Below are 20675 nucleotides of genomic sequence, written 5' to 3'. Positions count from 1 at the left end.
TGGATGTGCTCACCTCCATACGGTAGAACTCGCCCAACTTGACACTCAAGCAATGGGTGCAGCTGTCGCGGCCACTGCATGTCTCTGTGCCGAGTTGGTTCTCCCCCGTGCTAAAAACATAAACTTGCTGTGTGGCAGGGGAGCTAGTTAATTCTACCCTTCATTCAGCGTAAGCATGAACTGAGGATAGTTTTGCCGGTGTTTGGTTTTTAGACCAAATCGAATTTACGGTTTTGGCAAAGTAGGCTGCACTAGAGGAGGCAAAAAGTACAGCTTCCTGGGTAAAATGCATTCCTTTCTTCTGTTTCATATGTGGCTTCTCTCTTCCCCTCCCCTCCCCTTGTTTGGTCCAAGGTCTGTTACAAAATTGGATACAATGGTGTGGTTACTGAATTACAACAAACAACCTTGGAAAGTACATGTTTACCAGAGTATTGCGTAGGTTTTGTGTTCATCCCCACAGTTGTGTTTTTGTCTTTAGAGTCTCTCATTTTGCATTTTTAATGTCTGCTGTGAGATATAGGTATATGCTTTTACACACACATGCACGCACACACACCTTCAAACATATAAGTCAATGTTGTGTTTCTTCCCTGCCCTCAGTATTATCTTTCAAGCTCCTCATACATTGTTTTTTGAGGGAGGAGCAAAGAAGGAGGACTCAAAGGAGAATATTGAGGGCTGCCATTATATTCTGAATTCTGATGATCTCTTCAGTTGACTTAAGATTTGCATGTCGGTTCTTTTTTTGTGATTTAGATCAGCATAAACTTCTCCCTCCAAAAATCCTTTCAGATAATACCAACTTCTGTTCTTTCGCCTGTCCCTGCTCTGGGTGCTTCTCCCTCCATGGCTAGACTTTTTTCAGCAGCTCAGGGTCCCAGGAGGGGGTGGGGGCAGGCTGGGTCCATTTCACAGTCGTCAGAAGTTGTACAGAATCTGTTGGGGTTGGGGTTGAGGCAGCGTAGGCTTGGGAGCCCTACAACTTGAGAGCCAGAGGTTCCTGGTTAAAGTTTTCAGCTGGGACACATTACTTACCCATTCAGAAACCTCAAATGAGGGCAGCCCGTCTGACTGTTGTTTTCTGGTTAACTTGAATCCTTGAGCTAAGGTATTCCTTCTATTTTTACTTTCTTAAATTATCCTGGCATGGATGTGTTTGCTAGTTCCAAATTTTGTTTAAATAATATGTCTTCTACTTATGTTGTGAAACTCAAAGTGTGGTTGTTCGTTGGTTACGTCTTCCGATGTCTTCAGGGTGACCTAAGTCTTAGAGAACATTGGTTACTAACAAGAAAGTTGAGTTTGCTTTGGGAACAAGAAAGCGCTTTAGGGTTGACTGTCCTTCCATTCCACCTGTTTTTGCCTTTTGTAAGAAATTGAAGCTGTGGGCTCATTACTACGTATTTGGTAGCTCTTCAGCAATGTGTAGATCAGCTTTTCCCAAATGGGTAAGAGTCTAAACTTTTATTTTCTCTTCTGCATTACTGTTCTTTCAGCTTGGTACCCCAAAAAATGGCCAGTGGGGTGTCCCTTATCCTCAAAATCAGTCATTCCATTTCAGAAACAAAGTGAAAGAACTTTGCTGGTTGTAAGTTGGGCTTCCCAGGGTTCTTGGTGGTTGGATCTTTATTATGTGTTTGGATTTCACAGGGCCCCTGCTTCCAAGGGAGCAGCAGTTCCAGCTCACAGCTCTGATCAGGGTCAAAACCCGACTTACATGCATCGTCTTTATATGGTTTTTTTCAAGACCAAGTTCATTCATTTGCTAGTCTTTCTTTCTTTCCTTTCTTTCTTTCTTTCTTTCTCTCTCTTTTTCTTCTCTTTCTTTCTTTCTCTCTTTCTTTTTCTTCTTTCTCTTTCTTTTTTTCTTCTTTCTTTCTTTTTCTTTCTTTTGTAGCTTTGAGGATATTTAGGACTTAAGTTTCTGGGCAGCTTATTTCCTTTTTCATTCTCTGCTCTTGTAAGTAAAGGTAACTTCTGAGTAGCTCAAACATATGTTGGAACTATGGATCTTTAGACCTGAAAGAAGCACGGCAGCTTTCCAATCCAGTTTTCAGACATTATGTTTCATCATGGTCCCCGTTCTTCAAATTAAATTTAACCACAAACCTCGAAGGATGACTGATAAAATCAGAGCTGCAATTAGTAGTGTGCGTGGGTGTCAGTTCTAATGGAAGCCTGCTAATCCACTGATGGGAAGCCTGAGAACCAGAACTAAGTGAGTTAGCCAGTGTTACTGGGGCAGGACAGGGAGTACAGCCAGGAGGAGAAATTGGGCTCATTTAGGTAGAAATCAGATTAGTGGCAGCTGGGGACGGGGCTGTAGGGAGGGAGTAGGCAGCAAAGGGGCCCGAGGGAACTTTTTTTGGGGGTGATAGGAATGTTTCTATCATGATTGTAGTGTGGTTGAATGACTGCCTGTTTGTCCAAGCTCACTGAGTTGTACCCTGGAAATTGGTGACTTTTAATGTCTATAAATTATGCCTCAAGAGAACTGACAAAAAGAAAATAATAAAGTGGCTCAAAAGTTGTAAGGAACCTCCTAAAACATTCAGGTCTTTCATTAGGGGAGGGGGGAGCATTTTCTATGGTTTTAAATTCAGTGTAACTGTATGAAATGATTCCTTAAAAAATACAACAAAAAAAGAAAAACTCACATTCCCTTAATTCCAGACTAGACTGGTGGAGTCTATTTTTCTGGTCGGCAGAGGTCATCATCACTCTGTACTCATCGCTGCTGTCAGTTATACCAAGGGCCTGTAAACCTGGGCCAGGTAGTAAATATTTTAGGCTCTGTGGGAGAGCCATACGTCTCTATCACAGCTATTCAACTCTGCCATTGTAGTACAAAAGCAGCCAGAGGCAATCTGTAAACCAAGGAGTCATGGCCGTGTTCCATTCAGACTTTGTTTGCAGAAACAGGCAGCTGGCAGGATTTGGCCTGGGTGCTGTTTTTGCCAACCTGTGCGTGACATTTTTGTTACTTTTGGAGAAACTCAGCAGAACAGGTGCTTACTGTGTCCTCACCAGTAGGGTGAGTTACAGGATGATGGGACTGCAGGGAGGTTTGGAAGAGGACGGGTCCCAAAGGACTTGAGATGCTGTGTTGAGCTAATGGACTGGGATCTGTAAAGGACAGGATGGTTTTGCTCAGATGGAATGATAGAGGATGAATTAAGAGGAAGAAGGGAGTGAGCATGGCCACCACTTTCTAGGTTATTGCAGAAATCCGGGCAAGACATAAGTTCAGCTGTGACAGTGACCACGAGCAGAAGGGGACATGGTGAAGGGATACTCTGCAGAGACAAATGACAGAACAGAATGCAGAGAACGCCTGTAGCTGGGATTACAGGCCACCACGCCCGGCTGTTTGCATTTTTAGTAGAGACAGGGTTTCACTATGTTGGCCAGGCTGTTCTCGAACTCCTGACCTCAGGTGATCCACCCACCTTGGCCTCCCAAAGTGCTGGAATTACAGGTGTGAGCCCCTGCATCTGGCCCACTGCTGGGTTTCAAACATAGTATTATTGAACAACCTCAAATTGCTATATTTAAATCAACTCTTTATCAACTAGTCCTGAAAATTAAGGCCTACAGACATCAACAAAACGAGCGACAGAAGAAAGGCATTTCCAAGTGATGTAACTGGGTGACTCATCTCACGAAAGGGCACTCGGAGGCCTACCAGTAGACCACCTTTCTGGCTTTTGGCATGCCCTGACATCAGCCTTGCTCCCTCCATTAATCATACTACGCTCACATAGAAGCCAAAACATGTCACGCTTCTGTTTGAAAGCTGTCTTTTTGTTCTTAGCAACATGTCATGTTTGGGGGAAGTTATAATATACTGGCCAGTGGTGTCAGTAAGTCGGGAAGGCTAAGGAGCTTTGATGTCAGGTCTTTACCATTTAATGTTTTTCAAAGTATTGGGAATTCTGAGAATATTGTGGTCAGGTGTAAATGTACCCCCCAAATCCTGTTTCCGTCCCTCTGGTTCAGATAATAATAAGCTGACCTACCCCTGAACCCCGTCTCCTTTGTAATGGAGGTCGATTTCCAGTAGAGAGTATCTTACATATAGTAGTTGCTTCCTAAAGTTTGTTGAATTAAATTGAATTTGTGTGAGTCTGTGATGATTCTCCTCGTGGAAGAGCATAGTCTACCAAAATCCTGTTGGAGCAAATTTTTGCATCACATGTCACTTTTTTTTTTTTTTTTTTTTTTTTTTTTGAGACAGAGTTTCATTCTTGTCACCTAGGCTGGAGTGCAATGGCATGTTCTCAGCTCACTGCAACCTCCATCTCCCAGGTTCAACTGATTCTCCTGCCTCAGCATCCTGAGTAGCTGAGAATACAGGGGCCCACCACCAAGCCCAGCTATTTTTTTTTTTTTTTGTATTTTTAGTAGAGATGGTGTTTCACCATGTTGGCCAGGCTCGTCTCGAACTCCTGACCTCAAGTGATCCACCCTCCTTGGCCTCTCAAAGTGCTGGGATCACAGACGTGAGCCACCGCGCCTGGCACATGTCACTTGTGATTCTTAAAAGTCTTGAGTGAGATGAGAGTCTACAAGCTTTAGCTAAACTGATTTCTGAATTTAATCATTAAAAAAACAAAACAAAACAAAACAAAAACCCAGAAAACAAAAAACAACCTGAAAGCACAAAACCCAACTCAGGTGAGAGTACTCAATGCAAAACATTGGAAGAACCACTCTGGGCTCCTGTATTTGAAGAATTGTAGCTTCTGCCAACTTGAGCTTGCTAAGCTGGAAGCAAAGCCACAGAAGGTGTGGTCTGTGGGACACTTTCCACTAAAGTGGTCATGATGACCATTTGCTTTCTGGGACCTAGTTCATCATCTGATTTTACTCTTTTACAGAAAATGAGAATAGCCATAGTTTTTTGTTGTTGTTGTTTTGTTTTTTGTTTGTTTTTTTTTGCATTGGGGCATTTACTCTAACTTCTTAGTCTTCATGTATATAATCCTTTCTACACTTAGGGGAGATTAATTAATTAATAAAAATTCTTAGTACAAGGCAGGTATCTTGTCAAAGACTGATACTGAGAGGCTTGGAGTTTTATTTTGTTTATGATATTTCTCTTTGTGCAGAAATGACCTCCTTTAATCTTGAAATGTTGAAATGTGCAGCAAATATCTGTAACTGATATCACAATCAATAGTTTAGTTGCTTATTTGTATAAGAAAATAAAAGCAGGCCAGGCATGTTGGCTTATGCCTATAATCCTGGCACTTTGGGAGGTCGAGGCAGGTGGATTGCTTGAGGTCAGGAGTTCGAGACCAGCCTGGCCAACATGGTGAAACCCTGTCTCTACTAAAAATACAAAAATTAGCTGGACGTGTTGGCGGGTGCCTATAATCCCAGCTACTTGGGAGGCTGAGGCAGGAGAATTGACAAGAGTGAAAGAAACTCTGTCTGAAAAAAAAAAAGGAAAGAAAATAAAAGCAGATGACTTCTGTGCATTGGTGTGATATTAATATTTATGTGGAGCTCTTTGTCTTTCTTCTTGCCTCATGTGTTTATTTTACAAATATTTATTGAACACCAGCAATGTTCTCCACACCAGTGGAGGAAGTAGTGAACAAAACAAAATCACTATTTTTTTTTTGGTTTTTTGAGATGGAGGCTGGAGTGCAATGGCATGATCTCGGCTCACTGCAACCTCTGCCTCCCAGGTTCAACTGATTCTTCTGCCTCAACATCCCGAGTAGCTGGGATTACAGGTGCCTGCCACCACGCCTGGCTAATTTTTTTTTTTTTTGTATTTTTAGTAGAGATGGGGTTTCACCATGTTGGCCAGGCCTCGTCTCGAACTCCTGACCTCAAGTGATACACCCTCCTTGGCCTCCCAAAGTGCTGGGATTACAGATGTGAGCCACTGTGCCCGTCCAAAGTCACTGCTTTTGTGATGCTTACGTTCTGATATAAATCATAAAAATTTTTTAGGTGAAACCAATGATGATTGCAGGCTCTCACATTTGGGAACACGTTCTGGGAAAGGTAATAACATAGCCATCTAAGCATTTGGGAGTTTCTGTGTCTCTTTAGCAACTTTTATTCTCTTTCAAAAATTTTATTATTATTTTTTTTTTTTCTGCCAGGTATAGTGGCTCACACTTGTAATCCTAGCACTTTGGGAGGCTAAGGCAGGAGAACAGCTTGAGCCCAGGAGTTCAAGACCAGCCTGGGCAACATAGGGAGACCTCGTTTCTACAAAAAAATGAAAAATTAGTTGGGTGTGGTGGCACACACCTGTAGTCCCAGCTACTTGGGAGGCTAAGGCAGGATCATCACTTGAGCCCAGGTATTCAAGGCTGCAGTGAGCTATGATCGTGCTGCTATGCTGCAGTGAGACCCTGTCTCAAACAAACAAACAACAAATTTTTTCTGTTAATAGAGATGGGGTCTTGCTATGTTGTCCAGGCTGGTCTCAAACTTCTGGCCTCAAGCAGTCCTTTTGCCTTGGCCTCCCAAAGTGCTAGAATTATAGGAGTAAGCCAGCATGCCCAGCCAGCAACTTTTATTCTGAACATTTAGAAAATTGAGGACCTGAATAAATCACATTTTAAAATTTAACTAAATTTACAGAGTATTTACTGTGTGTTCCATGGTGTTTTAAGTTCTTTATAAACATTAACATTAAATTTTCATTACAGTTCTATGTAGTGGGTAGTATTAGTATTCTCATTTTACAAATGAGACAGCTGAGTAACTTGCTCCAGGTTACCCGGTCAGTAAGAAGGGAGACTGGTATTGGATTGCGGGCTCTTATCTCTCTCTCTCTCTCTCTCTCTCTCTCTCTCTCTCTCTCTGTGTGTGTGTGTGTGTGTGTGTTTTCATCTTGCATTTGGGATTTCCTTGAAGGTTTAGGATTATATGCAGCCAGATTTCATGACAGTAGAGTAGGTCTGGGCCCTGTGGCTCCCTTTCTGTGAGAATTTCTTCTCTTTTTCCTTCACATTTAATTATGTGTTTAATTTGTATAAATGGAATGTGTTTAATCTAATTTTACTGAATTGTGTGTTTCTCTTGGTCCTGCTAGACTTTCTGTAAATTGCTTGAAGCAAGAAACTGGCAGATAGATCCATCTGACAAATAAGTAAAAGAATATGGTTTATTGCAAATTCTAAGACTGTTAGATCAGTTTACTAGAAATTGAGGCTTTTCCCTCCTTTGTGGGACTGCGTAATAGTTTAATTTAGCTGTTTATAAATGTTTAATTGTATTCTAAACAATAGGACTGCCGAACAATAGGTCATAATGTATTGGAATAATAAAACTCTGGGGGGTGACACTATTTAAAACCTAGCATATTCAATATATGTGTGCCTTGAGGACAAAGTCTTCAGGCTACAATACATTCTATTCTTATGTGGGCAGTAACGTGATTTTTCTGCTTGATAATTCTACATCTCAGGGAACTTGTGATTATTTGAGGTTACAATGCTTCTATTCTCTCATAATCCTCAAGGAGATTCTGGTTAGTTTCTCAGAGAAATGCTCTGTATTCTTCAATTCTCAATCTCTAATCATTTGTTGCCTGCATACTGTCTAGAACTCTCACCATTCCTCCCATCTCAGCCTTTTCAGTGCTCCAAACATTTCCTTACTGTTCTAAAGCTACTTCTGAAATCCTACTCCTTCTGTGAATTTTTCGGTTCGTTAAAAGAGAAATGATCTGGCCTCATCTTTATGTTTCTCCTTAGCATTCAGGAATGAAGCTTAAGGAACATCCAATATACTTTTTCACTTTAGTTTTAATGAACTGATTTATGCTGTACATGAAAACGAATGTGAATCTCTCAGTGTTAATGCTTTGTATTATGAGCAGTGAGCTTGTTCAGCACAGTAAACATCACCTGACTGGGCCTTGTTTAAGACAGTCCATCACGTGTGGATTAATATGAAAGGAAATGTTATTGTATTTGTATTATGTTGCTTCGGCTGCCATAACAAAGTTCCATAGACTGGGAGGCCGGAACAACAGAAATTTATCTCATCACCATTTTGGAGGCTAGAAGTCTGAGATCGAGGTGTCAGCAGGGTAGGTTTCTTCTGAGGCCTCTCTCCTTGGTTTACAATGACCGTCTTTTCCGTGTCTTCACGTATCTTTCTTCTGTGTGTGTCTGTGTCGTTATCTCCTCTTCTAATAAGGACACGAGTCATATGGATTGAGCCCACCTTAACGATGTCATTTGAACTTAATTCCTTCTTTAGGGATTCTCTCTCCAAATACATTCCAGGGACTGTAACATATGAATTTTGTGGGGACACAGTTTAGCCATAACAGGCTTGAAATGTATAACATAGTTGTCCTAAACTTGTATGATGAATTAAAACAAAAAATTCTTTTTAAAGCTTAAAAGTAGGCTAGGGAAGACAGCGTCCCAAGAGAGAAGAGAAAATCATGATCAGGCTTAGAACTGGCTAAGTGATTCTGGGTAAACTTCACAGTAATTTCTGTTTTGTCTGTGCTTTCTCAATTTTTTGTACTCAGTGAGATCTGAAATGCCTTTTAAGTGTCTCTAAGATTCTGTAATTCTATTTTAATAACTGTCTTGTTGTTAGACCTTACTGTTGATTTAAGAAGTTGTTGGAGAAGAATTTTTATAATCCTGGGTTATAATCTCGTGTTTGCGAGAAAATGCAGAAGAGCGAGGCTGTGTCCAACAGACCCTTGATGATGGGTGCATCAGCCCTTCTCTTGGCATCTGACCAGCTGTATGACTGTGGACAGGTTATGTATCCTCCGTGAGCCTTAATTCTTTCATCAACAAAATAGTTAGGAGGCTGTCCTTCAATCTTGTCCCTTGTCATGGTTGCCTGCTACAGATAGATACTGCCTCCCCCGCAGACGATTGACTCTGAGTGTCCTGGTGCTGAGGTTGCATTTGCAGCCCAGGTAGGGTGTTGGTCTCAACACCTGTCGACTTGCCTGGCCTCCACTGCCTGCCTGACTCGCGTGCCACGAAGGCCACCTGTAGCTCAAGGCTGTCAGAGCGGAGCTGGGTTTATATCAGTATCCCCAGCCTCACTTGCTGCGTAATGTCTAGCCCCTGGGCTAGACAGATGTCATTTCAGGGAGGATGAGTTGGGTTCCAAATGGTTACCATAGTTTTTTTTATTACTTCCTCTTCCTATATTTAATAGCCCCAAATGGTTATCAGAAAACTACTCTTCTTCCTGTATCTTATTAGGAGGCAAATGGTGAACATTTGCAGGGCAGAGATGTAGTTTAGCCTCACACATCAGATTATAATATCCATAGACTTTAGTATTACAAAAAGTAAGTGCTGGGCCTTTTCTAGCTCAGAGAAATACCCACTGACACAGGTTTTGTGAGGATTAAATGAAATAAATGTGTGTGTGCATCTGTGCGTGTGCGTGTGTGCACGAGTGTGCGCGTGTGTGTGCATGTATGCGTGTGTGCGTGTGTGTGTGTGCGCGTTTGGTGGGGAGGGGCAGCAGCATGCTTTCTACATACTTTTCCCGTTAAATTGAGTGTTCACTCTTTGTGTTAGGATTGAGTTTATATAACTTTTAAAACACTTTTAAATCACTAAGTCTTTTAAAACACTAAGGTGACTTTTATTATTAGGCTTCAATAGATCAATTGATTCAGGGTAAAATGTTATTCCAGTAAAATTATTAAAACAAGTTCTCTGTACAGGAATAAGAATTCTCAAGTTCTATTTGGCTTACTCGTTTTAGTCATTATATACAAGCATTAAAATACGGCACTTTTGGCCATAGTGTTTGACCTGGAAAAATTCCCGTAAGCGAACCCATTTACCATGCCTTTCTATGTGGTACCACTGCTGATACCTGTCTCCTTTATAGTCTGTATTTATAAGAACTTTTTCAGTTGCAAGGGACAGAGATTCGACACAAACAAGCTTAATCTAAAAAGAAAACTTATTTAAACTTAAGTGAAATATTCTAGGGCTAGAAGTATCTTTATTAAGCAAGGTTAGATCCAGGGGCATATAGGATATTATTGGGGGCATTTTCTCTCTCTCTTTCTCAAATGGATTTATTCTCAGAAAACTGATGAGAAAAATGACTGCCAGCATTGCCAAGGTTTATCTTTTGACTTCTGATTGGAAAGTAAGAAAGAGCTTCTCAGTTCTTGTGTCCATATATCAAATATCAAGGAAGATTCTGATTGGTTCTGCTTGAGTCACATGTCCATCCCTAAACCTGTGACTGGCTGGTGTATAGAGCACTACGGGAGACCTGGCCATGTGCCACCCACTGTGGCAAGGCGTCTTGACTGGCAAGCTCCCTGGGATTACGTGGGATGGGAGGGATGATGTCCCAAAAGAAGGGTTGCTTAGCAAACAGACAGCATGTCTGGTCTAGATAATTAGCATTTTAAGTCAACAGGGGTTTGGTGTTTATTCCTTTAGTTTACAGGGAATGAGAAGGTAACTATCATAAAATTCTGTTGGATCACTTGAGAATGTTAAGCTGCCCTTGAAAACCTGTTTGACATGTCATGCAAAAGTGCCCATCAGGTGCAATAGGCCTCACATAGATAACCAGATAGTGGCATCATAATTGTTGATTGCTGAGATTGATGTGACATGTGGGCAGTTTGCAGGGGGTGGGTAAAGGAACAAAATGGCAATAATGGGACTTCTGATTGTTTTTGGCAGGGTTGGATGACTGCCTGCAACAATATGTCCACAAGTTTGAACGAGAGAAGATCAACGGCGAGCAGCTGCTGCAGATTTCCCATCAGGACCTGGAGGAGCTGGGGGTCACACGGATTGGACACCAGGAGCTTGTGTTGGAGGCTGTGGACCTTCTCTGTGCACTGGTTAGTTCAGGAAAAGACGGTCTGTACCGTGATGACGTTCTTTAGAGCCTTGCTCTCTTAAGCCGTCATTGTTTGTGATTTAGCATATCACTCTTTCCTTAATGCTCCATCAAAATAAAACATGAGCTGAAGATACTATAGGAAGGGGAAAAATAAGTTATTTTCTACATTAAAGGTTGGCAAACTATGGCCTGCGAGTTAAATCTGGCCCACTATCTATTTTTGTAAATAAAGTTTTATAGGAACACAACCATGTCCATTCACTTACGTGTTTGTGACTGCTTTCTTGCGACAGTGACAGAATTGAGTGGTTGTAACGGGACCACATGGTTCCCCCAAAGCCTAAAATATTTATTAACTTGTCCTTTACAGAAAGAGTTTGTCTTTTTCAGAAAATCTCTGTATTAGTCTAATTTTCTTTTATAAGGAAAAAATGATGGAAATACTCCTGAATGAAAATGTCACCTTCTGGCGAGGCGCAGTGGCTCATGCCTATAATCCCAGCACTCTGGGAGGCCGAGGCGGGTGGATTGCTTGAGTCCAGGAGTTTGAGACCAGCCTGGGCAACGTAGCAAAACCCTGTCTCTATTAGAAATACCAAAAGTTAGCCAGGTGTGGCTAGCACGCACCTATAGTCGCAGATATTCAGGAGGCTGAGGTCAGAGAATCACCTGAGCCTGGGAGGTGGAGGCTGCAGTGAGCAGAGATCGCACCACTGCACTCTAGCCTGGGTGACAGAGTGAGAACCTGTCTCAAAAAAGAAAAGAAAATGTCATCTTCTAAATTGAAGTGAGAAATAGGTTCTGATTTTCATGTCTGATTTTGTTACTATAAAAAGCGGTTGAGTTTCACAGATATTTGTGATATTTAAATAACTGATATTTGCACTTGACATGACCTATAAAATGGGAAAAAAATGTGGCCTTCATTACATTTTGTAGATGATGGGTTTTGGCTTTAACATGAATGAGTAAAATCCTGCTGGGTCCTGACACTAGAATCACATGGGTAGCTTCGTTAGGTGTGGGCCAAAAACACCTGTAAGGACATTTTGTTTATAAATTGGTTAGTGTGGGTGGGATTCAAGTCTGCCTGTCCCGGTGCCAGGCTAAAGATGCAGTTTACTTAACTGTCAGGATTTGGACAAACTCGACAGCATTCAGGCTGGGTTAGTAATGCCCTGAACCCCAGCCAGGGGTATATACAATTACATCACTGAGAATGGTGGGAAAGAATGTGCTGCTGATGATTTTGCCGTCGCTGGTCTGCGTACTGTTGATTATATAACACTTGCTGCATTGTGTGTATTCTTCTTCTTAAAATGGACAGAGCCTTGTCTTCTGCTCTGAGATGTGCTGCTCTTGTTTAGGAAAGTAATGGGGAAATTATTTGTAGTTGATAAATGAGCTGCCGCCTGGGAGACGCTATGGCCAAGTAGTCTGAGCACGGGTCTGGGAAGCAGGAATTTGCATTCTAATCCTGGCTCTGCTACATGCTACTCCCTCTGTGACCTCTGGGGAAATGGTGATGTCTGTTTTTCCCATCTGTACAGTAACGCTCACCTTAGATGTGGCTGTGTACTATTGTGTGTTTTGCACTGCCCAGACATCTAAGCATCCTGTTTATTACCGAAACTGTATTTTCTTTTTTTTTTTTTTTTGTACAAACGTGTTTGAGTTTACTTTTATTATACTTTCTGGGAACATGGCTTTTCCGTCTTTTCTGCTTGATGTTTTGCAAATTGTCTCTTTCACTTTGCAGTAATACTTTGAGGACAGGTAAATTTACTTGGAAATCCAAAGTAAGAGAGGCAGGAAGGGTCAGCTAGAGACGCATCACATGCATCAAGTGGGATGATAAACGTAACAGCTGCCTCTGGGCATTCTCTTTGCTTTTTCCTCTTCTCTACCTCTTAGAGCATTAGGCTAAAATGAACAAAGCTGGACAAATGCCAGAACCTAAAGCTGTGTTTTATCTCCTACAATTTCCTTCTAATTTCCTTTGTAGACCAAGCTTTGACCTCAGACTCATTCTGGACCTGCTCTGTGCCAGTGACTACATTGGACAGGGGGGGTCACTTAGGGGTTCACAAAAGAGTGTGGATTATTTTAGTGAGTTTTACTAAAATGTCTTTAGTCTGGATATAATCTCCTTTTTGAATATTCTTATTATAATTCATATACTAATTATACTGTCTTTTTAATCCATTTATAGCATATAGATCTTTGGATATATAAATTGGTGATGCTTTGAACAGAACATCTCCAGGGCAGTTAATGTGTAAATGCAGTTGGCCTTGGTGTTATAAAAGAGGTTTCTATGTAAACTTAGTTTAGTGGATGTTGATTTTATGATAGACAGGAAATGAATATAATTAAAAGTAAGGAAGGGGGAGGGGAGAAACAAAACCACTGGAAAGTATCAATGTAAGGAGAGGGGCAGATAGATGGGCAGGAACCTAAAATAGGAAACAGCTATTAATGAAGATTCCAAAACTGGTGAGCAGTGGCTCACAAATTAGCTGGTCATGGTTAGAGAGCAATGAGAGAAACCATCTTTTGTGAACATTGACTTTGGCTGGCAGTCGTGGCTTAGGAGAGTGATTTGTATTATATGATGAGACCAGGACCACTTTCCCAGATTGAATTAGAATCTGTACCCAATTTTTCTTCCTCTCTCTGGGTAGAGGGTACCTGAGACCGATTATAGAGCTGCTCTTTTCAGTAGGATAGCTGTTACCCAATGTGACTGTCTAAATGAAAATCAACTAAAATAAAAAAAAAATTCAGTTCCTCGGTTGTACTAGCAACACTTCAAGTACTCAGAAGCTCCATGTGGCTAGTGGCTACGATATTGGACAGCACAGATAAAGAACATTTTCATCTGTGCATAGAGTTCTGTTGGCCAGTACTGGTCGAGAGGGTGTGATTGAGAATAACCAGTAAGAATAACCAATAAGGATAAGTATGACTGTGGCCGGGTGCAATGGCTTACACCTGTAATCCCATCACGCCTGTAATCTCAGCACTTTGGGAGGCCGAGGCAGGCGGATCACAAGGTCAGGATATCGAGACCATCCTGGCTAACATGGTGAAACACTGTCTTTACTAAAAATACAAAAAATTAGCTGGGTGTGGTAGCGGGTGCCTGTAGTCCCAGCTACTTGGGAGGCTGAGGCAGGAGAATGGCGTGAACCCAGGAGGTGGAGCTTGCAGTGAGCCGAGATCATGCCACTGCGCTCCAGCCTGGGCGACAGAGTGAGACACCATCTCAAAAAAAAAAAAAAAAAAAAGATAAGTATGACTGTAACCTGTGTTCTTTGCCAAGTCAGTGAGGCCCTAGTTTACTGAACACCAAGGCATGGGCAGCTGTGTTTTGAAGGTTGAAGGAGGTTGAGAAATGAACAGAGTTGGAATTGATGCATGTGTTAAATGATGCTACCTAGACTTGGGGTTAAATGAAGTACCTGTCATGAATCTATGGGCCTAGAGTGCTTATGCGCACTGGTATACCTCTGAGATTATTTGTTGTTTATTATTCACCCAAGGCAAATCATTTAAACATGTTATCTTTTTTATGAGAAGAAATGCAGGAACAGGAATTTTTGCTGGCAAGTTGTATTTAACTTGATCTTGCTTATGAGCTTATTTAAAAATGCCTTAGGAAAATTGTGAACTATATTTCTTAGGTTGTCTCTTAATTGACCCAAGTCAATAAGATGGCTTTGATTTTGTGTCTCTGGCACACCTTAATCACACGTTAGATCACGAACAGAGCTAGTAGGAATGGAGAAGATGGTAGAGAAGAAGTTGTGTAAGGTGTGTCCTTAGCTAAATGTGTATAATTTTAAGACTTTTTGCTTTCCTTTTCTCCCATTTAGTGTATGGTTTCTCTAGCCAGATCAGGAAAGGATCCCGGATGGTGAACCCTAGGAAGTGAGATCTCAGTGGAAGGGTTTTAGTAGGTGAACAGATTTTCAGAAACTCATTGTGTTACTTAATTTGTATCTTTTTGATGCTTTATCTCAAAGCAGTTTCTGAAGGAGACAAGTTTTGGGGAAAAGACTGGTGAAAATAATTAATCTGGTCTGAGAAATTATTTATTTTCGGTCTTTATGGGGCACTTAAGTCAATAATCCTTTCCTGATTATGCTTCTACAGTAGAGGTTCTTTAGAGCTACTATAATCAGTTTCTTGTTCTCTCTTTAATGTGGAATGGGGTCGAAGGGAAGGAACTTTCCTTTCTTCTTCTCCTCCTTCCTTCTTTTAAAAATTCTATTCTAGCTATATTTATTCATCTTTCTAGGTCCATTATTTGTTTTGGGGAAGAAAAAGAGCAAACTGAGTGGAAAATGAAGAGAACCAGTTATAAGAAGCCACTCTACCCCTTTATTTCAGTATTAAAAGTGGTATGTTTTTAGAAGATTGAGGTTTAAAGTTTCTTGCAACAATAAAATGCTCTTAATCCTCTTTGAGTTCAATAAGTAAACGTTATGTATATGGTAATAAAAGTTCCAAGTAATTTATGGTGACATTGATTATTGAAAGCTGACTTTCCTGCTTTTAGTTCAAAACTCTTCATGTAAGTTGGCAGGCTGAGTGACCGAATGAGGGGACCTTTCCCTTTAATCATAGTTACAAGTCCTTCAAAACAAGCTCTGTCTTGTGGCCTCTTTATCCATTCAATTGTGAGTCTTTGATTCTTTGAATTTAAAAAGCTGTGATGCAAATCCATCTTATTTTTGTCTCTCTATTGAAGGACAATATTATTATATTTTAGTCTCTAGAAAATAACAAAAAATGAATATCACATTTAGATAGAAAAATACTGCTAATATAGAATATTCATTTATATTTTGAAATTCAGTTTTTTTCAAAAGTTTGGAAGAGAACATTTTCAGCTAATTTTTGCTTCTTTCAAAATTTCTAATTTTTTAAATATTATTTTTTGTTTCACTAGGAGGTAACATAAATTTAAACTTCAAGTAAAATCTATTTAAAATTAGAATTGTTTTGTTAAAGTTAAAGCCTTTTGTTGTTGTTTTTAACTTACCATTGTTCATCTTGCAAAAAAAAAAAAGTTTCTTACCTACTTCCGAGTATATTTATGCTTTATGTATCTTGATTTTGACACGTGACTTGCCTCTCTCTGGCCCACATAGCCAAAGCCAGCTGAAAGAAGTTTCTCCACAGCCGGGTGCAGTGGTTCATGCCTGTAATCCCAGCACTTTGGGAGGCCAAGGTGGGCGGATCATGAGGTCAGGAGATTGAGACCACCCTGGCCAACATGGTGAAACCCCGTCTCTACTAAAAAATTCAAAAATTAACTGAGCATGGTGGCACTTGCCTGTAATCCCAGCTACTTGGGAGGCTGAGGCAGGAGAATTGCTTGAACCAGGGAGTCAGAGGTTGCAGTGAGCCGAGATCACACCACTGCACTCCAGCCTGGTGACAGAGTGAAACTCCGTTTCAAAAAAAAAAAAAAAAAAAGTTTCTCCACTTCAGAGGGGATGTGTAGAATTTTGAGAAGCTGAATAGCTATTCAGCTTGTGCTGGATCCAGGATCACTGGACAGTTTTCCTTATTCTTGTCTAATGTCCATCTTGTCATCTGTCTTATCATGTGGCGCTTTTTTGGGCAGGTTGTATGGAAGGGGACATACACAGCAGAGTAATCAAAAGCTTGTGCCCTAGATGCAGATTGCCTTGGTCAAAAGCTCAGCACTACCGCTGATGAGCTTTGTAACTTTGGAGAATTTATTTACTGTTATCATGCCAGTTTCCTTACCGGCAAATTAGAGATAAAAACATTTCTACCTTCACGGGCTGTTTTCCTGAGATAATACATGTCAAACACTGAGTCCAGTTCCTGGCATAAAGTGTTCAATAATGTTAAGTATTCTGTTAGTTTCAGTTTTTAAATGGTACCAGATTCTTGCCTTGGGATGCTATTGAGATGGCATAATGTATCTCAAGAAATATCGTCATGTTTTTTTAAAAATGATGAAACAATTTAGGACATACAGAGGCAACTGAATACAGAAATTTATACCCCCACCTCTAATGTTGCAGATTTACATGTTGTTTCCTGGGATTGGCTCTTTTCTCTGAAAAGGAGTCTAGGACAGTATTATCTCATGAAATTGATTTTTTTGAAGCACCCACATAAGCTGAACATTGTTCAAAAAGAACACAGGTTAGAAGCACAAGAGCAAGAAATTAATTTTATTGATTGATTGAGACAGGGTCTCTCTCTGTCACTCAGGCTGGAGTACAGTGGCACGATCATAGCTCACTGCAGCCTTGACCTCCTGGGCTCAAGCGATCCTCCTACCTCAGCCTCTTGAGTAGCTTGGAGTACAAACAGGAGCCATATCTTCAAGCTCAGGAGATCACGCTTAGTGAATTGGTGTTTAGTTAGTGCTGCTGTGTTTTTTTTTGTGTGAGTGTCTCGCCTGGTGGAAATCCATGCATTCCATGACTCTATGATTGTCCACTGTGCTGGAAATACGGTAGTGGGCATACTCACAGAGCCCTGCTTCTGCAGCCCTCACGTCCCAGTGGAGGAAGAAGGCCACAAACACGGTGCTTCAGATGGGGCAGAAGTGGGTGATGGGCTAGAGAGTGAATCGAAGGGGCGATTCTGCCACCAGGGGACACAGGGCGATTTTTGGTTGTCACACCGGGGGAGGAGGTACTACTGCCATCTGATGGGTAGAGAGCAGGGATGCTGATAAACATCCTGTAAGACACAGGGACCCCCACCCCACAAGCGTTATCTGGCCCCAAATGTCAGTAGGGCTGAGGTTGAGAAACCTTGTTCTAGATTAAGTGGTCAGGGAAGCCTTGCAGGGGAGGGGACATTTGGGCCAGCACCTGAGTGATAAGAATGAGCCGTCGGCCAGGCGCGGTGGCTCACGCCTGTAATCCCAGTACTTTGAGAGGCCGAGGGGGGCATTGTGCCTGAGCTCACAAGTTCGAGACCAGCCTGGGCAACACGGTGAAACCCCGTCTCTACTAAAAATACAAAAATTAGCCCGGCATGGTGGTGCGCGCCTGTAATCCCAGCTATTCAGGAGGCTGAGGCAGGAGATTCACTTGAACCTGTGAACCTAGGAAGAAGAGGTTGCAGTGAGCTGAGATGGCACCACTGTACTCCAGCCTGGGCGACACAGTGAGACTCCGTCTCAAAAAATAAAATAAAAAAAATAAAAAAATAATGAGCTGTCTACGACAATATTTGTAGGAGGCGCATTTGGGGAAGAGGAACTATCAAGAACAAAGTCCCTGAGGCCCGGGTGGCTGTGGAAGGAGCAGAGAGAAGGCTGATATGGGTGGGGTGAGTGAAGTGGGCTGGGGATAGATCACATAGGGTTTTGTGGTTGTTGTAAGGTTTTTTTCAAGTGACTAACTGGGCTTTTGAGTTATCAGAGAGTTTGAATATTGGTGTTTGTTTATTGTTTTGTTTTTATTTTGAAACAGAGTCTCCCTCTGTTGCCCAGGCTGGAGTGCAGTGGCGCCATCTCGGCTCACTGCAAGCTCTGCCTCCCGGGTTCACGCCATTCTCCTGCCTCAGCCTCCCGAGTAGCTGGGACTACAGGCGCCCGCCACCACGCCCGGCTAATTTTTTGTGTTTTTAGTAGAGACGGGGTTTCACCGTGTTAGCCAGGATGGCCTCGATCTCCTGACCTCGTGATCCGCCCACTTCAGCCTCCCAAAGTGCTAGGATTACAGGCGTGAGCCACCGCGCCCTGTCGAATATTGTGCATTGTTTTGAATTTTTCTCTTTGATTTTATTTTCCACAGAATTATGGCCTCGAAACTGATAACATGAAGAACTTGGTTCTGAAACTGAGAGCATCTTCCCACAATTTACAGAATTACATAAGTAGCCGACGGAAAAGTCCCGCTTACGATGGCAACACCTCCCGCAAGGCCCCCAATGAGTTCCTGACCTCGGTGGTGGAGCTCATCGGCGCCGCCAAGGCCCTGCTGGCGTGGCTGGACCGGTAAGTTGGAGATGTGCCTTTTACTGCCCTGCAAGAGTAGATAGAGTCCAAGCTGCATGGAAGCTGTACTTTGTCTTAGGAAAAGGAACCATTGTTCTTTTCATATCATTTTTACCGGCTCTTAAGGAGTCCTCGATCAGTGGTAGATTTTAGGATTCCTTTGCCAGTTAACTTAAAAGGTTAATAGCAGGAACAAATTAACCTCAGCTTAGAGAAGAGTGAAACTGTGCTAAAGGTTGTGTTTTACTGAGATTAAACATTAATGGTTGAGGATTTGATTGGTATGAAAGCTGTTAGTTGACTTCAGAAGGGATGTTAACTGTCAATTTTTGTTTTGTTTTGTTTTTAATCTATTCCTTCTCTCTTTCTATTCAGATTGCTATTTTATGTGTCACTTGAGAGAAAACAGTTAAATAAAAACTAATTTAATACAAAATTTAGCTGGGCTTGGTGGCACATGCCTGTAATCCCAGCTACTCGGGAGGCTGAGGCAGGAGAGTTGCTTGAACCTGGGAGGCGTAGATTGCAGTGAGCCAAGATCATCCCACTGCACTCCAGCCTGGGCGACAGAGTGAGACACAGTCTCAAACAAAACAAAACAAAAAGGAATTTAGAGTAGCCCATGGGGTAGCTATGCTTACCAACATCCAGTGGGATCCCCGTGGATTCTCCCTACCCCTTTTTAAGAGGATTGTTGCTACCTTCTAGGGCTCCGTTTACAGGGATCACTGATTTCTCAGTCACGAAGAACAAAATTATCCAGCTTTGCTTGGACCTGACCACTACAGTCCAGAAGGTCAGTAGTATGTCATTTTCACTTTCTTTTTTTTTTTTTTTTTTTTTTTGCTTTTCCTCTTCTTGAAAGGATTTTCATGCAGGTATGAAGTACTACTCTCCTCTCCCCACCTCAGTTTTTTTTCCATCAGAGCTGGGAAGAGATGAAAGGCTTTAAATTAGATCATTGTAAAGATGGTTTCTCTGAAAACTGACCAGTGGCCTTTGAATTAAAGATTACCTTTTTGTGTGTGTTTTAAAATAGGCGAACTAATAGTTCCTGTACTTCCCCTAAAATGTTAGAGCACTTAATTTTTTTTTTTAATGAAAATTCTGGAGTAACTAAGTTGCATGATAGTCTTTGTTCTGAGTACTTTACTATATCTGCTTCTTAATTTTCTTTTCATTTTGGCCTCTTGTTGTTGGATTTACCAGTCAGGATGGGCTAGGTTGTGGTACAGGAACAAACAACCCCCAAACCTCAAACCTTAGCAGTTTATTCCTTGATTATTTACATCCAAATGGGTCAGGGCTAGAGGGCAATCACCTCCGACTCCTCATTTCAAGATGTATACAGGACATAGGTTGACAGAATCACTAGTATGTCATGTTGCCTTTCCCCAAGGCAGAAAGGTAAAAACCATGAAGGTCCTCACACTGACTGATGTTCTGGACTGCAAGTGACACATGTCAATTTCACTCATGGCTCATTGCCCAGACCTAGGTATCTTAGTAAAGGCTCAGGAAGTTTTATATTAGCCAGTCTGTAACTGATTGAGCTTCTGTGATCTTAATTTAAAAAAAAATTTCTTCTTGGACCATCAGCTCTTAGGACTACCTTCTGTCCTGTTACTTGGCATGCAGCAGATGCTTGTAAAATATTTTTGAATTGAATTGAGGCTATGAAATGTAAGGAAGAGCTTGTTGTTTTTTCACGTCCCACTTGGTTCTAAAATTCTGTTTCCACATTTGTTTCTACTGCTGATTTGGCAAAACATAAAGAACATCCTCCCTTCTGTCCTGACCATGCCATAACAGAGATGCAATT

The 20675-nt window shown here is 41.5% G+C and overlaps 1 protein-coding gene across 4 annotated transcripts in view; it reads left to right on the top strand.

The window, feature by feature from the left end:
* The window catches only part of CNKSR3 (CNKSR family member 3), a 123171-nt gene that overhangs the window by 49745 nt on the left and 52751 nt on the right, over nt 1–20675 (top strand). For all 4 annotated transcript variants that reach the window (NM_173515.4, NM_001368117.1, NM_001368116.1 and 1 more), the window contains exons 2-4: nt 10683–10846; nt 18651–18853; nt 19562–19649. In NM_173515.4, coding sequence (NP_775786.2) covers nt 10683–10846; nt 18651–18853; nt 19562–19649 — 455 coding nt within the window. The remainder of the gene's footprint in view (nt 1–10682; nt 10847–18650; nt 18854–19561; nt 19650–20675) is intronic.

Source organism: Homo sapiens, chromosome 6 (assembly GCF_000001405.40).
Source record: "Homo sapiens chromosome 6, GRCh38.p14 Primary Assembly".
Lineage (NCBI taxonomy): Eukaryota > Metazoa > Chordata > Mammalia > Primates > Hominidae > Homo > Homo sapiens.
The sequence above is the reverse complement of the archived record's forward strand: the minus strand, read 5'-3'. Positions and strand labels throughout refer to the sequence as shown.